At 37.3% G+C, this 15,456-nt stretch overlaps 1 long non-coding RNA gene across 4 annotated transcripts, besides 1 other annotated feature; it reads right to left on the bottom strand.

Annotated features, from left to right (window-relative positions):
- Positions 1–415: 415 nt before the first annotated feature.
- Positions 416–14,854, bottom strand: LOC105376442 (uncharacterized). 4 transcript variants are annotated; one of them, XR_007062080.1, is made up of 4 exons: positions 14,554–14,854; positions 5,490–5,549; positions 4,766–4,832; positions 416–2,003 (listed from the first exon to the last, which is right to left on the bottom strand). It is a non-coding gene; the product is annotated as an uncharacterized LOC105376442 (long non-coding RNA). The 4 variants fall into 4 exon arrangements; XR_930729.3 differs by having other exon boundaries at positions 1,070–2,003; positions 4,617–4,832; XR_007062081.1 differs by having other exon boundaries at positions 1,070–2,003; positions 4,617–4,787.
- Positions 14,311–14,811: an enhancer, noted in NCBI's record as "H3K27ac hESC enhancer chr10:20885982-20886482 (GRCh37/hg19 assembly coordinates)". NCBI's record gives its function as "activates a minimal SCP1, AML or CMV promoter by ChIP-STARR-seq in naive H9 embryonic stem cells {active_cell/tissue: H9 hESC(naive)}" and the evidence as "EXISTENCE:reporter gene assay evidence [ECO:0000049][PMID:30033119]".

Raw genomic sequence — 15,456 nt, 5'->3', positions numbered from 1 at the left:
TACCTAGAATTCAAGTGAGTAAATTGTTTTCAAACAAAGATGATTTATGATTAAAAATGATTTGCTGATTTGCTGTGTGAATGTGGTAAGAGTTCTTTTGAATGTTGAGTGTTTGATGAGCCTCATGGTCACAGAGCATCTTCAGACAGTGAATTTTGACATGAAACAAAGTGGTCAGCACCTGCATCTTTTGCTGGTGCTCTGGAGCTTATGACACCTGCATACTTATCAAGTGACATGATTTTCTGTTCCTAAATGTAAATACATTAGCTTATGATTCACAAATAGAAATGTGCTCAGTTAATAGCCACCAAGACAGAAGAAAAGGCAAAAACCTTAAACGTCATAAAACTCAGATGTCACTTTATATCAAGGATATGGCTAAGAAGAAACCCTCAATATATTTATTAGGTTATTGGTATATATCATGCTTAAGTTTATTAAGGCCTCTGCAAGGAAGTTACTGGCAAACATCTATCCTGGCTTTTCAGCTGTTGGAGTGACGTGTGTACAAGCAACAAGGAAACTGTCATTTGTCAAATTTTGGGTTGAGATAATACTAAGCTTTAAATCTTGTTACAGACAATTGGATGGACTCTTTGGGATTATAAATTTTATAATTTTTCCCCATAGAATTTCAAAACAATCCTTAACTGTGTAGAGCAAGAGTAGGGTAGATGGGTGGGAGACACAAGGAAAAAGTGAGAGTCACTCGGATTGTTTTTAAGCAGAGAGACAGGGAACAATGGAAAAGATGGAGGGGGAGTCAGAAGTTGTGCTCGTGACTTTCTTTCATTTGTTTGTTTTTTTCATTTTTATTTATTTATTCATTTAAGATAGAGTTTTGCTCTGTCACCCAGGCTGGAGTGCAGTGATGTGATCTCGGCTCACTGCAACCTCTCCTTCCCAGGTTCAAGCAATTCTCCTGCCTTAGCCTGCTGAGTAGCTGGGATTACAGGCATGTGCCACCACACCCAGCTAATTTTTGTATTTTTAGTAGAGATGGGGTTTTGTCATGTTGGCCACACTGATCTTGAACTCCTGATTTCAGGTGATCTGCCCACCTTGGCCTCCCAAAGTGCTGGAATTACAGGCATGAACCATTGTGCCTGGCCATGAGTTCCTGTTTAGTTGCTTGTAAATCTGTGCATAGTTTGTGTACTAATAGCATTACCTCTACCCCAATATTTCACTGTTGAGTTCTACGGTGATATGGATTCAGAGAATCAGGGGTTAGGTTTGAGTCAGACATGGTTCACTTGGTTCACATCTTACTAATGGAGTAGTCTTGGGCAAGTCTCAGCTTCCTCCTATGTAAAATTAAGTTAAATTTTAGATATAGTATGTGGAATCATATTCATAATTATAATAGTGTGCTGCTGTGACGATCAAATGGTATAACACATGAAAAGTACTCAGCACATTGACTGGCATGCAGCAGACACTCAATAAACACTACAAAAATGATGGGGATGGGAACAGAAAGGTAAATGGAAAGAAGAGAGGAAAACGGAGTCAGTCAGGGAAAAATTGACGATGAGAATTCAGGCTCTTTATGTTCTTCATTTCCTTTCTGGCTTGTCTTCTAAATTTTGTTTTCTCACATCTGACTGCAATAAAGAATATGTTTGAATTCAGTTATGTGCTTTGGTCATTAGCTTACAGCTATCTATAGATGTAATTCATGATACTCTCAGCTCTGGTGAAACCGGAGTGGATTATGTAGAGAGATGGGTCGCTGTTAGTGAAATTCATCACTCATGCACTGAGAGTATTGTGTGAGTCGGTGATTGTGCTGGGACCTCTGGGAGGAAGATGGGCAAGGCTCATGTTCTGTCCTTAAGGTGTCAGGTTTACTGGAAATCACATTATTTCACTTCAGTTCAGTTCAGTTCCACTCAATTCAGTTTATTTTAGTTGACTTCATGCTTCAGCCAGTTGTAGAATGGAACTGGATCTTAAAATAGCAGCACAAATTATCAGAGGGTTCCGATCTTAGGTAGCTGTAGTTTGAGAGGAAAACAAAAAATGTGCTAATCAGCTTGAGTCTTCTCTGTTCTTATCTGATTGTGAAATAAAGAGAAGTCATCTAGCAAGTAAAGAGGCTAAGATGTATCATTCATATCATCACAAAAGATATAATCCTAAAAGAACAATAAACGTTATTTTTATAAAGGTGATCAAGAATTCTCAGCAAGTGATACATTCTGCAAAAAAGAATTTTTCAAGAAAGGTTCATAAGCTCACCACATGAATTCTTTATTTTTTCTTTCTGTTTGTATCCACTCTTACATATATGTGTATTCACTTCTCTATCTTGTTTGTGATTAAGAGTTTATTGTAGCAAAATTATAGCAAATATATCCATTATGGTAAGTTAGTTAAAGCAATTGAATAACCAGAAAGTTGTGTCTTAATCTGTGCTTTAAATTTACTTTCATCCCAAAAAATTATCTTTGAACTGAAGAAATAATTAAATGTATATTATATGTGTGTGTGTGTGTGTGTGTGTGTGTGTGTGTGTGTGTACATTTTTTTTTCTAGACCACCGGGAACAAATAGTCTGACAAAGTCAGATTTATAACGACCAAATCCTGAGAGATAAATAATAAAGCTGACACAGGAGAGACAAAAAGGTCATCAGACCCCTGGTCCAGTGAAAAACTCACACAATTGGTGACAGGGAAGTCTTGAGTAGGTGAGATTCATGGGGTCTCAAACATACACATTATTATGGAGTTAGGGTCTCAGTTCATGGCAACGAAGGTCTTAGCCAACTCTCTGTGAAACCTCCAACTTGTGACAGGCTAATGGGTTAGTCACAAATCACTATCAACAAACCCAGAGTCCGACAAAATCACATGTATTGAGTCAATGCAGCAAGGGGTGGCCTTTGGGAAGAGCCAGGAGTGCTGCATGATAGGAGGAAGTGTCTTTCACAAGGTCTGGGTTCTAACTGAAGAGCTTGGAGGAGGATCCAGCAGAAGCCAGTGGGGATCAGTTCTGGATTAGGACAAATGAAGATTAGGGATTATGCCATGTCATGAGGCAAGGACATTTAGCAATTCTGGATCCCCAGGAATAGATGAGTTACAGCAAAGCATGTCTGTGAGCATCATTAGTGACAAGGCAGAGGTGATTCAGGAAGAGGGTTGTTATGGCATTGAGCAGCTGCTGCATGACCTTGGGAAAATTGGGTTTCCTGTTAATTACACAGCTGGCCTTATGTAGCTGTCCTCTCCACTGGATTAGCAGAAGGACTCCTTGTTTCTTTTTCAATCTGAGTTGATTTTCACTCTTTCATTTCTGGACAGGTTCACTTTCTCTCTTTTTCTCTCTTTCTCTATATATGTAAAATTTATATTTTATACCAATTATGCATATGTATACTATTTATATATTTTATATTTACATTTTAATTTAAAATTATATACATGTAAAAATATGTATCATTTGGGAGCAAAGACCCTACTACCTATTCAAATAGTGAAATTTGATGCTAATAGATGCCTATAGGTTTCAGGTAAGAGAAAATTCTGTTTTTAAGCTGAAGAGAACCGGTGAGTTGGAGCTGAATCTGGAGCTTCTAATCTATGATTTTTTAAAAAACAAATATTAGCACATTTTTCTGGACGTTTTAGTGGAGAAAGGGTTGTGATAGATTGTCGAAAGGTTCAAGATTAAACATCCTTGATTTTCCAGGGAAGGCTCTCTGCAGCTTTTCCGGAAGCCGTAGACCTGCTACAAAGATTCCATGCCTACTCAGGAGAGAAATTAGCTGCTGTTAGTGAAAAAAAAATCTGCCCACTCCACAGGTGTTGTCCACACACTGAGGGCTGAATTTACGTATTGTTTGACTTCCTGACACATCAAAAGATTGCATGACATGGGAGAGGTATGGTAATTATTTCCCTGTCATTACATGGAAATCTTGGTGATGAATGGAGAACCTCAACTGGCAATTTATAAGTTGTGTGACCAATATGTTTCTCTGGGAATAGATAAATGTCTTCTTTTGTCAAAATCCTATTATTCTTATTTATTTGATTGACTCATGTTATCAAAGAGCTTCTATGATAGATTGGGAGGAATTCAGTTTTATTTATTATTTATTTTTATGTTCAAGAATTGCTGGGCATTGTGGCTCACGCCTGTAATTCCAGCACTTTGGGAGGCTGAGGTGGGCACATCACTTGATGTCAGGAGTTTGAGACAGCCTGGCCAGCGTGATGAAACCCCATCTCTACTAAAAATACAAAATTAGCCGGGCATGTTGGTGCAGGCCTATAATTCTAGTTACTCAGGAGGTTGAGGCAGGAGAATCACTTGAACCTGGGAGGTGGAGGTTGCAGTGAGCAGAGATCCAGCCACAGCACTCCAGCCTGGGTGACAGAGCCAGATTCCATCTCAAAACAAACAAAACAACAACAACAACAAAACCCAGAATGTGTTGCCTGGAAGCCACTTGTAGGGAAACTGTTAGTACCTCTTCCTTTTGTCTGTACTTTCGCAATGATTTGGGGTCTTCCAGAAAAATGGGTGCAATGACTTTGAACTAATAATACCACATTATCTCAGTGAAACTGTTTTAAGATTATAGGATGAATTTTCTTTACCCTTTTCTGCAAAGCAATGGCAAAGTCATCATCATCGTCATCATTATTATCATAATCATCATCATAATGATGTCATCTTTATAATTGCGGTCAAGTTTTCATTACAGTGACATTTTTATCAAGTACGAAAGACTTCAGATTAAACTGACCTTGGTCTTGCCCTCTGGGGAACTAAATTGTAAAAAAGAAGAACATCGTAATAAAATGGATACAAGTCTGTAATTAAATAAACATCAAGAGATTAAATGTGCATTCATTTAGTGTCAAAAGCTTATGAAATTAAGCAAGAAAAAAATTGCAGGCTTACAAAGTTTGGCTTCTGATAATCTGTTTCACTTTTCAATATTTAAAATAGACTCAATATAATTCTTCCCTCTACCATCTCTGTGTTTGGGTTGCTTATGTTTCAATTTTTAGATTTTATTTCTCTAAGCATGACCAGATCAGAAATTATTCTGTCTTCCTTTTAGAATAAAAGTAAAATCAGAGATAATGCATTCTAAGATTAATTTCTGCCTCAATTAATAAACATGCAGCAATCCTTACACTTACAAACAAATGTATCACACTAATGCCTGCTACATATTATATTATATTTTAGGAATTAATGTGAAATATGCATTATTGAGAATTGTAAACATGTGCATTCCTTAGTATCTCAGACTCATGAAGAGCAGGCTTTCCTTCTGGGTTAATTCAAACCAGGCATGTAATCTGCGTATCCTTGATCATTTGGTCCAGATTAATCCATGAGTGGATATAGGATAAAACTTTATGAACAGGGTTCTGGAGTTCACATCATTTAAATTCAATGGACCTTTATGATTTGTGTGAAGATTTATTTGTTTAGACATATATAACAGCATAGCTCACCTTATCCAAGTCAGAGTTCTGTGGAAATAATCACAAGACAATTTACCTGTAAGTAGAGAGCTGTAGGACATTAGGTACAATGGTGAGTATAAAATTACAGCAATATTGAAAAAACAAATGATATTCTGCCACCTCCATAGTATTATTTACAATGTAATCTCAATATTTGAATGATTTTACATTTCCAACCCATCTAAAATTTTTTCTCAACATAAAATAATACATGCTTATTAGAATAAATAATAAAAGTAAAATTTTATAATTCTATCATTTAGAGAATCTGTATTTCCTTTTGGCCTCTTAAAATCATTACTAGCTTGAAATACATATATTTCTTTGTAAAAATGTTGAAATCCTATTGTTTTTGTACATTTTTTCATTTAACATTGTATCAGAAACATTTCCCAATATCATTAAATAATTTTCAAGGCCTGACGTTTAATGAGTACCCATTTTTCCATTGTATAGAAGCACCATTTTTTCCCATTTCCTTCCTATTGTGCCTATTGTATTGTGCTTGTTCCTATTGTTCTTGTAGGTAACAATTCCTTTTGAGGATTCCCCTTTAGTATAATGTAGTACATAACTGTGGTGATGTATACGTGTGCGTGTGAGATGAGAGCACACCAAATAGCCTAAGATAGGGCCTAAATGGAAAAAAATCCCTATAATTGTATGTAAGTATTTGAGCTGGCTTAAGAAATGCTTTTAAACAAGTTGTCTTTTATTCGTTCGTTAACTATGTTTTGTAAAATGTAGAGGTTTAGAAATAATTAATCCATTGTGGTTAATATAGGTATCAAAGATTTTTCAATGTTGTGATTTAATTTGCTTGACTAACTTTAAATTCCTCTATCATCTTCTCCCTATGACCTCAGGAAATCTTGGTATCAATATTTAGGAAAGGAGTAGGGTAGGGAATAAGAATATGTTGACCTAACGTATCCTGATGGCTCAACATGAATTCCACATAGCTTAGCAATGCCTTTGGGGACTGTATGTAATTCGATGTTTACAGTTTTGATAAAATGAAAGGTGATACAGTACTGTATATTGTACAAGCTAAAACTTATAGCAGAAAATCAGTCGTTAAATTGTGGAGAGAAACAGCACATAACTACTGACAGTGGAATTCCCAGAATGCTGGACTCACAGCTTCAGTTCAACGAACAGAAATCTATTGATGAGTTGAATTACCCCTGATAGCTTCGATGTCCAGAAAATCATAAGATGAAAGTTGGAAAGAAGTTGGGAAGTTGGAAAAATGGAAGAAGAAAACTGTTTTTAGTGTGAACATAAGATAAGAAAGGACGTATAAATTCTGAAAAGCATTTTGTTAGACCCCCCTCTCTGTATATATATATGTATAGTCGTGAGCTCCATAACGTTTTAGTCGACAATGGACTGCATATATAATGGTGGTGCCATAAGATTATAACGCCGTGTTTTCCCCTTCCTCCCTTTCTTTTTCTTTCTTTCCTTCCTTCCTTCCTTCCTTCCTTCCTTCCTTCCTTCCTTCCTTCCTTCCTTCCTTCCTTCCTTTCTTTCTTTTTTCTGAAGTCTCACTCTTATTGCCCAGGCTGGAGTGCAATGGCATGATCTTGGCTCACTGCAACCTCTGCCTCCTGGGTTCAAGTGATTCTCCTGACTCAGCCTCCCAAGTAACTGGGATTATAAGCAACCGCTACCACACCCGGCTAATTTTTGTATTTTTAGTAGAGATGGGGTTCCACCATGGTGGCCAGGCTGGTCTCAAACTCCTGACCTCAGGTGACCCACCCACCTTGGCCTCCCAAAGTGCTGGGATTACAGGCGTGAGCCACTGTTCCCAGCCTACTTTACCTTTTCTATGTTTAGATACACAAATACTTACCATTGTCTAACAATTGCCTACAGTGTTCAGTATAGTAACACACTGTACAGTTTGTGGCCTAGGAACAATAGGCTACACCATATAGCCTAGAAGTGTAGTATGCTATACCATCTAGGTTTGTGTAAATATGCTCTATGACGTTTGCATGACAATGAAATTGCCTAATGATGCATTTCTCAGAATGTATCCTTGTTAAGTGAGGCATGAGTGTATACACACACATACACATAACACACACAATATTTTACTGCCTCTTGTAGTAAAATAAAGAGTGAAATACAGTAAAATAGTCTATCTACTATCATACGGTAAAGAGTAAAACAAAAGAGAATCAGCTTTTGAAATAAGAAGGAAACTTAGTATCCTACCACTAGATTTTCAGTTGAGGAACTGGGACTCTGGGAATGAAAGTGGCTGGATTCTGACCATCCAGTCCAGAGTGGTTTCCATGGCACTATAGACTTACAGGATGAGATGGATTTTGGTTTTTAAATTATGACAACACTTTTTACTCTAAGGAGTCACTATAACTTACAAAGACATGCATCTTCCTAGTAACTACTGAATTTCTAGGTTGTAGTCATTTCTTCAAGATTGTTATTTTAAGTCTTTACATTGGTGGTGATACAGAAAAAGGGGGAAAAAACAGAAAAGGAAGTCTTCTGTCAGTAAGGTCAATTATCCAGGCTGATGACTATTCCTATCAAAACTCATTTCCTGGGTAATGACATAGTTTAAATACTACCAATATGCTGATGTCTCCAAGATGTAGTTATCTAATTCTGACCACGCCCTTAAACATCTAACTTGTGTATTTAGGTGACTGCTGGACACTCCATTTGGATGTCTAATAAGATAATCCAGTGTAACAAAACAAGTTTCAAACTTAAGCCTGGATTCCCCAGTACCCAAACTTGTTCCTTGCCCACAATCCCATTTTCAGTAAATGGCCACCCCATTTTTGTAATTGTTCCAGTCAATACATTTGAAGTCATCTTTGAGTCTTCTCTTTCCATACCTGGCATCCATTCCTGTTGGCTCTGCCCTCAAAGCGTATCCCCAGTATGACCTTTTCTGTCTGACTTCATGACTGTCAGTCCCAGCCACCAAGCACCTATTGTCTGTCTATTGCAAAAGCCTCTCACCTTGTTTTCTGATTTCCCTGGTTACTTCTCAATAGTCCATTTTTCACACAGCAGCAAAAACAGCCCATTATACTCAACATCAGAGCAAGTCACTGCCTGCTGACCTTCCTCCAAGGCTTCCCATGTCAATCAGAGTCAAATCACCACTCTTTACCATAGATCAAAAGACCTACCACAGGTTAAGAATCCCTTCTCTAAAATGCTTGGGACCAGAAATGTTTCAGATTTTGGAGTTTTTTTGGATTTTGGAATATTTACATTATCCTTACTGGTTGAGTGTCCCAAATCTAAAAATCTGAAATCCAAATGCTGCCAAATCCAAAAGTCTTGAGCGCCAACATGATGCTCAAAGGAATGCTCATTGGAGCATTTCAAAGTTTGGATTTGGAATATTCAACCTCGATCGCTTTCCCCCTTGCTCACTTTGGGCAAGCTTCCTCAGCCTTTCAGATGGTCTTAGAATACCCCACGCATACTCCTTCCTCAGCATCTTGGTCCTTGATGTTCCCTCTGCCTGGAATGCTCTTCCCTCCAATACGTATGTGGTTCATTCCCTTACGTCATTCAGGCTTCTTGTAAAGGTCTCCTCTAACAGGCCTTCCCTATCACCTTACCTAAAATAGTGCATTCCAGCACGTTTATCCCTTTCTCTTTTTTATCTGCCTTCTTAGAGCTTTCCATTCCCTGAAATGTATATTTATGTGTTAAATTTTTTTTTCTTCCAGTTCCATTGGAATGTGAGGCCCCTGAGAACTGAGGTCTTACCACTTTTTTTCCCCTACTGCCTTCTCAGTACTTTCAATAGTCTTGGTACATCATAGGTGTCAATATTTATTGATTTATTTTAGAGACAGGTCGTCCCTCTGTTGCTGAGGCTGGAGTGCAGTGGTGCAATCATAGCTCACTGCAGCCGCAAACTCCTGGACTCAAGTAATCCTCCTGCCTCAGTCTCTCAGGCAGCTGGAACTATAGGTGTGTGCCACCATGCTTGCTAATTTTTGTTCAGGCTGGTCTGGCACTGCTGGCCTCAAGCAATCCTCCCACCCAGGTCTCCTAATGCTCTGGGATATGAATGTAAGCTACCACACCCAGCATAATTTCTTTATTGAGTGAATAATGACATGTTTGAAGAGCCAACACTGGACCAATGGTTGAATTTCTAATGAAGGAAACAGAAAGTGTATCTGCTCTGGCTTTGAATAAGAGCCTGGCTCTTGTCCATTCTCTTTTCCCTCTTACAATATTCTGTGGCTCTGTGTAATTGATCCAGTTTTTCTCTGCCTCTCAGTCACCACAGTGATGAACCAGTTGATCCAGTGGCTTGGTTGTGATGTCTCTAATTTAGTTGTACTATATCTTCAATTCTAATATTTCTATTAATAGTTTTTGGTTAAGATCTATTAAAGTCAGAAAAACAAGAATGATCATGAGAAAAATTCTAAATAATTGATTAGCTATTTCTCTGTGCCAACCCTGGTGATATGTTAATTTGCCAATAATATTTGCCCACATACAGAAAAATGTTTGGTTTGGGGTTCATAAACAATAAATTAATGACAAGCAGTAATGTGACAGCTAAATGAAAAACAGATTTTGCAATAAAAAATGCTTTTGATTAAAGCCAAAGAAATTGTTAAAAATGAATTTTGCTGTTTTTGAGTTCTCTGGCTAACACATAATGTTTTCTTCTTAACTGTCTGTTTGCTTGTTTTACATAAAACATTTGCTGCTTCATGAGGGAAAATGTTTCATTTTATCTGAAAGTTCTCTTTGATCCCTTAATTTTTTTTCTAAACTTCATTGTAGATGTGGGAAATTAAAGTTCAGCAATAATTCCCACGAGGAGGAAGGGGGTGGAAAACTAATAAGAAAACAATTGGCTTTAAGAAGGTCCAGTTCATGCTTCTCTGTGTCTTGGGCAGACATCTTTTGCCATTTACGTTTTGGGAAGGATAAGGGTGAACTCCAAGCCTATTTTCCTACAGAAGGAAAAGCTGGCTAAAATGAAACTTTGCTACTCGCTTCCTTTTTCTTTCTCCCAAAAAATAATCATCTATATTTGAAATCCTACTTTTTGTTGGCTTAGAAAGTTACTATACTTCTGCTACTGTCATCATTTCTTTCAAACACCGTTCTCTAAGTTCAAAAAATAATTCATGTTTGTGATGCAAAACTCATTTCTGCTAATGAGAAATGAATCATTATTTCACTACAGGCTGTCTATTTATTGCAATAGAATAATTCAATCAAATTAAATAGTGAAAACATTTTTCACCAAGCACAACGAACAATCAGCCAAACACAAAGCACACTGTGCTAAGAGAAACAGATAATTCAGTGATGAAGCTTTTCTATAGAAAGCAAAAACTTCTGTTAAAACATATACACTTAATAGGCTACATGGTAATAAATTTTCTTTTTTGTGAATAAAAATATAGTAGTTAATGTTTTTGTTCTAACCTACTGGGAGCCAAGCTCTCAGTATTGTTGATCTAAATTATCAAAATAATTATTTTCTTCATTTTAAAGATGGAAAAACTTTGATGTTCTAAGAGTTCATAAGCTAGGCAAGGTCACACAGCTACTAAGTGGCTGGGACTGGATTTGAATTCAGCTCTGATTATAAATATCTTTTTTCAGTGTGACTACACTCTGTCTCTCCTTCATGCTATTTTGCATCAATCTGAAAAGCTTGAGTTATGTTGATATTTCACAACCCAAATGTTTCAGCTCATTTCCTACCCCCCATCAAAGTTTTCCTATAAGCATGATGTTCAAAATGCAAGACAGAGTATCCCAAGCTTGGGTCATTTGGGAAACTCTTTGTGTGCTCTGAATTATGGATCTGCCTTTCCATTATATTTAGGCCTACATATCTTATAAAAACCTAACTCGTGTCCTGAATACAACTGTGGCAAGTGATTGGAACTTATGCCTCCCTGTAGAGAAGGAAACTTGAACTTGCTTTAGGAAGAGACCCACTCTTCTTCAAGAGAACTTAGTAAAAGGAAACCAGAATTTGATATGTAACTTAACCTTGCCTTAATGATGGCATTGCCCCTTTTTCTGTCTTCTATTCAGTATTTCTGTGAATTTAGCATGATGAAAATTTTAATGAGTATTGTACCTCATCTTTCTTGCTGTTCTTCAAACTTGAGTATAAACACTAGTCATATTTAGTCCATTTTGTGTTTAAGAAAATTCTTGAGTACTCTATGTAACAGAATACTTGAGACTGGGTAATTTGTAAGCAATGTAACTTTATTTGTCTTATGATTCTAGAGAATCCAAAATCTTGGAATCTTGGAATCTTGAATTTCAAGACCATGGTGACAACACCTGGTGAGGGCATTCCTGCTGTGTCATCCAAGGCAGAAGGTGGAAGGGCAAGACAGTATGAGAGTAAGAGAGAGCAAGAAGGGGCAAAACTTACTTTTATAACAACCCACTCTTGTAATAACAAATCCACTCCCTCAATAATGACATTAATCCATTAATGAGGGCAGAGTCCTCATGACCTAATCAATTACCTCTTATTAGGCCCTGCCTCCCAACACTGTTGCATGGGGAATTAAGCTTCCAACACATGAACTTTGTGGGACATATTCCCACCATGGCAATCACCTATCACCTTCTCACTTGTTAGACATAATTTTTGAAATTCTATTTCAGTAAGATTGAAAGGGAAGCTGGCAATTTTTCCATCCATAGAGTGAGAATCTGATTACTATTGGACCAGCTGGATAGTTGTTTCTCTGTAAGGGATACTAAAATACCTCCCCGGTAATGAAACATCACTGAAAATGTGATGAGAGGGATAACGTTTGTAAGGAATACTTTGATAAACTACATCAAAAGGAAAATGGAGAAATGAACAGGTAAAGCATGCTAGGTTTTTAGGACAGTGAAATTATTTTGTATGATACTATAATGATGAATGTATGACATTAAGCATTTTTCAAAACCTATAGAGTTGTGCAACAAAGAGTTGATTCTAATTTAAACTATGGCCTTTAGTTAATTATGTATCAATATTGATTCATCATTTGTAACAAATGTACCAGACTAGTGCAAGATACTAATAAGGGAAACTATACTGGAGTAGGCGAGGGGGTATATTACTCTATACATTCTGCTCAATATTTCTATAAACCTAAACAGCTCTAAAAGTGAAGTCTATTCTTTATAGTCTACAGTTTAAAGTCTATGTAAAAGAGGAAATAAGAGGGGTATGCCTTGGTCACAGTAGAGTCATGTTTTAGTAACAATATATGGCCCTTATTCCTAAAGTACCTTCTCAGGAGGATGGGAATATAGTTGGAAAGCTTCAGTTTTGCTGGGTGAGGTTTTAAGCGTGTTACCAGAGCTAAATTGCTCTGAGCAATAGAAGAGAATGTCCTGTCTCTTACCATGTATTAAAGAACATTGATTTGAAGGGGCACCAAATGCTACACCCAAGTGGCCACATGTTTTGGTCTCGGTAGCTCCTGTGCTCTGAGTCAGATTTGGAAGTGAATTCTGGCTTATTATCCTGGCTCATGACTCAGCTCTCCAAGGCTCTCCCCGGTGCAAGAGCCTGGTGGGATCTCAGCCCTGTGAGTCATCCTTGCTGCCCAGACGACAGCTGCTACCAGGCTAGGACACAGAGGCTGGGGGGCCTCCTCCCTACCCTACCCTTGCAGGATGCACTGGAGAGCCACCTTAGAATGATTCCACCATGGACCTATATTTTGACATGGTTTTTAAGAATTAATGTCCCATAAAGTGTTTCTGTATATTTTGTCAGTGAAAGAGAGACATACAGGTTCACATCATAACATGAATCCAAGATTATCTATATTTAATATTTATTCCCTAATCAGGATGAAAAGTTTCATTCCATCTTGGAGTAAATTGAAGACATAGCTGGTTCTTTATTCATTTTTCACAGATTTCCTGCGTAGCTCAAAGCACTTCACGAATATAAAATTACTCAGTAAGTGGCACGAAAGCCACCTTATAAAGTAGGGATATGTTTGAGTAGAAGAATTATTTGCCTACATATCTGTATTTTTTAAAAAGCCTAAGACAAAATAGTAATGTTAAATTCAGGAGGGGCTATTTAGTTTTATAATGTCATAGAAAATAGCCTGGACAGAAATTTCATGATTGTTTCCCATTTCAAAAGTTTTGAATTTTTTATTTTCATCTATGTTTTAAATAATATTAGCTCATAATTTATAATGGACTTATTAATGGTAATATGGTAGTTTTCCTCTTCTACCTGACTTAAAGGGAGACTCAGCAACACACACACGGACACACACAGACACACACACACACGGTGGGGGGAAGAGAGAGAGATAGAGAACAGAACGCAGAGAAAGCAGGCATATTTAAATCTAAAAAACAGTTAAGAAACTAAAGTCAAATTTGGGAAAGCATTATTTAAGGAGGGATTATAGACTAGAAAATGTTCAAATGAAGGGTAAAGATCATATAGCTTAACTTTTTAATTGTAAATGTTCATCGAAAATCACAAAGTTAAAGGCAGTGCAAGATTGTGAATTCTCCATATGTTAATTACTTTTCCTGCTACACACCGGAAGTAACAAAAGGGATCTCCCTGCCTTTCCAGTCACCCTAGAAGGCCCTCCCATCAGACTTTTGTCCCGTGCACTGCTCTGAAGGCCTCTTGTTAATGTCCCAAAGACTTTTCTGTTACCAGAATCAATATCGTTGTCATCTTGCCTACCTATTTCGGTACTTGTTCAGTTGATCACTCTTCTTTTTTAACACTTAATTTCTTGAACTTTTAGCATATCCCTATCACTGACCTGTTTTTCAGTCTCCTTAGCTCATTCATGCTCATCTTTAGGTGTCTAAAGGCTGGCATGCCTTGGGGCTCAAGCATTTTACCTCTCCTTCACCCCTCTCACCTTCTCACCTGAAAATTACTTGCTGACTATAATCCTCTTTTGGAGAAAACACCCATTAAGGTGTTTGGAACTTAACATGTCAGAACTGAACTTTTAATTCCCTCTGCTCCTTAAATTTGTTCTCTTACCATAAATGACAGCTCTTTTCTTCCAGTGACTTGAACTGAAATCTTGGTCCTCTGACTGAAATAAAAACCTCAGGGAGCTTGTAAAAGGCAAAACTGTGTTGTTGCTTAATGCATCTCTCACTGTTAATTCTCTAGCATTGTCATGAAGGTTTCAACCCTCTTTCTTGTCTATTTCTGGATTGAATGGTGTTTCCCATAGAACTGGAGCACAGGCCTGGAATGTGGATGGAATTTGGATGGTTGCTAAGTTACTTGGTACATTCTATCCCCTGCTTGCTCTTGACAGTGAAGACTTGAATGTGAGATCTTCAATAGGAAAACAAACCCTGTCGAGGCTTCTTTATGAAAAATCAGATCGTGAATCAAAAGTACAAATCAGAAAAAAAACTTTAACATCCATCCTTTTTGCTTCTGGAAAATAAATGTCTCAGTATAATGAATAGAATTGAAAGATAAAAAAATGAAGGTTTTCAGAATCTTAGTATCAACACACACAGTTTTGGCTATAGACTGAGCCTCCACAAAAGTATCACACTGAACATAGGCCCTGAAGTATGGCAGATTTCATTTAGATAAAAATGCACGAAAAAGAAAGGAGCTGCTATTTTAATTCCATGATTTTTTGATACTGTCATTTACCATTCAAAAAGAAAAAAAGAGAATAATGGTGTTACATTGAGAGTGTTTAGACAAGTGTTTTTTACTTTACAAGGAATGAAAGCAGGGTGCTTGGCTATCAGACTGCATTGTTGTGAGATATTTCCCTGGTCAGCTATGACTCACTGAACTCTTCATACAAATGATTGCTAAGGATGAGAGTTATTAAAAGTTCCTCATCAAATGTATTGTTTTCAAGGGGTTTATGGGACCAGGCCTCCTCATTCCTAGATCCTGATATCATTA

The sequence above is a fragment of the Homo sapiens genome, chromosome 10 (genome assembly GCF_000001405.40).
Source record: "Homo sapiens chromosome 10, GRCh38.p14 Primary Assembly".
Taxonomy (NCBI): Eukaryota; Metazoa; Chordata; class Mammalia; order Primates; family Hominidae; genus Homo; species Homo sapiens.
Note: the sequence above shows the minus strand (reverse complement) of the source record. Positions and strands in the feature narration are given on the sequence as shown.